At 64.7% G+C, this 1,408-nt stretch overlaps 1 annotated feature.

Annotated features, from left to right (window-relative positions):
• Positions 1,208–1,317: a silencer, noted in NCBI's record as "silent region_7939". NCBI's record gives its function as "represses an Ori minimal core promoter by ATAC-STARR-seq in GM12878 lymphoblastoid cells {active_cell/tissue: GM12878}" and the evidence as "EXISTENCE:reporter gene assay evidence [ECO:0000049][PMID:35858748]".

Here is a 1,408-nt window from a genome sequence, read left to right on the forward strand (position 1 = left end):
TGTGTGTGTGTGTTTGTGTGTGTTGGGGGTATATAAGGTGTGTGTGTGTGTTTGTGTGTGTTGGGGGTATATAAGGTGTGTGTGTGTGTGTTGGGGGGTACATAAGGTGTGTGTGTGTTGGGGGGGTACCTAAGGTGTGGGGGGGAGGGCACATAAGGTGTGGGCATTGGCTTCTGCAAACAGCCTCCAAATAGTGACAGTAGGCCCTGCTCTGCCCCCACTCTCTGGCTGCCAGACCCTGCCCAACAGAAGGGGGCACCTCATGGGAAGGTGGGTGATCTCTGAACCCCCTACCGCCTTCCTCCAGGCATCGGCAGGAGCACTCGGTTCTGTCGCCTTCTCTGCTTTTCCATCCCTGCCCACCCGACAGACCCTCCCTGAGCACGRCCCTCGCTCCAGGCTGGGGCTGGGGTGATGTGAGGCAGCGGAGGTCATAACAGACACATGAACGAAGGGCCACAGGAATGGGGATGTCGTCGTGGACTCTGGCCCCTGGGAAGCATCAAGGAAGGCCTCCCAGAGGAGGTGACATGAGCTGGGCATTGAGGGGCCAGCAGGACGCCTCCTGGGAGAGGTAAGAGGCCCTGGGCACGCGGGTGGAGGGCGGCAGCAGAAGCGCTGGTGTGGTGCATGTGTCCGGCCTGTGGCCAGGGCAGGTGGACGACGAGGCCAGATGGGGCCGGACGGGAGGGCGCTGAAGGCCAAGTTGAAGCCAGCCCCGCCTTGGGATGGCGATGAGGAAACTGCCCTGATGCCCACCGAGAGACAGGGTGGGAGGGGCGAGACCACCAGCACCGCCGGGGCTCCCGTGGGGGTCCCCAGGAACCTCTCGTGGGGATCCCTAGGGACGGCAGCGGCCGCCTTCACCGGGGGGAGGAAGTCCCCATGCCGGGGGGCAGGGCCGGGCTGCGGCCCCGCTCCAGCTTTTCTGAGACCGCGGGCAGGATGTGGCTTCCCCAGAGTTCTAAGTAAAGGCAGCAAACACCAACATCCGAGCGAGTCCCAGGGCAAAAGATTCGGTGGAGTCTTTTCTTTAAATGAACATTTTAAAGTAAAGCAAGAGGATTACTCCGTGAAAGTTTCCACCCACCCAAAGGCCTCCCACCCGTCATGTGAGGGACACCGGGTTCCCGGTGTTCAGGCCAAGAGGGGGCCCCGGGAGGCCGCAGGCTGGGGAGGGACCTTTCTCCCAAGGTCGAGGAAGGCTCTGGGCCCTCTGCCCCGGGATGGGGGGCCCGGCTGGGAAGAGGCGCGCGGCCCCGTGGGAGCCCAAAGCCGCGGGGTGTCGGGCCGGGGTTCCCTCCAGGCGCCCCCCCCGCCCGGCAAAGGCAGGAATGTGGCCGACCCGCAGCCCGGCAGCCCCGGGACCGCCACCCCGAAGGGAGGAGACGGCGGCTCGCCGCTCCCG

The sequence above is a fragment of the Homo sapiens genome, chromosome 17 (assembly GCF_000001405.40).
Source record: "Homo sapiens chromosome 17, GRCh38.p14 Primary Assembly".
NCBI classification, from domain to species: domain Eukaryota; kingdom Metazoa; phylum Chordata; class Mammalia; order Primates; family Hominidae; genus Homo; species Homo sapiens.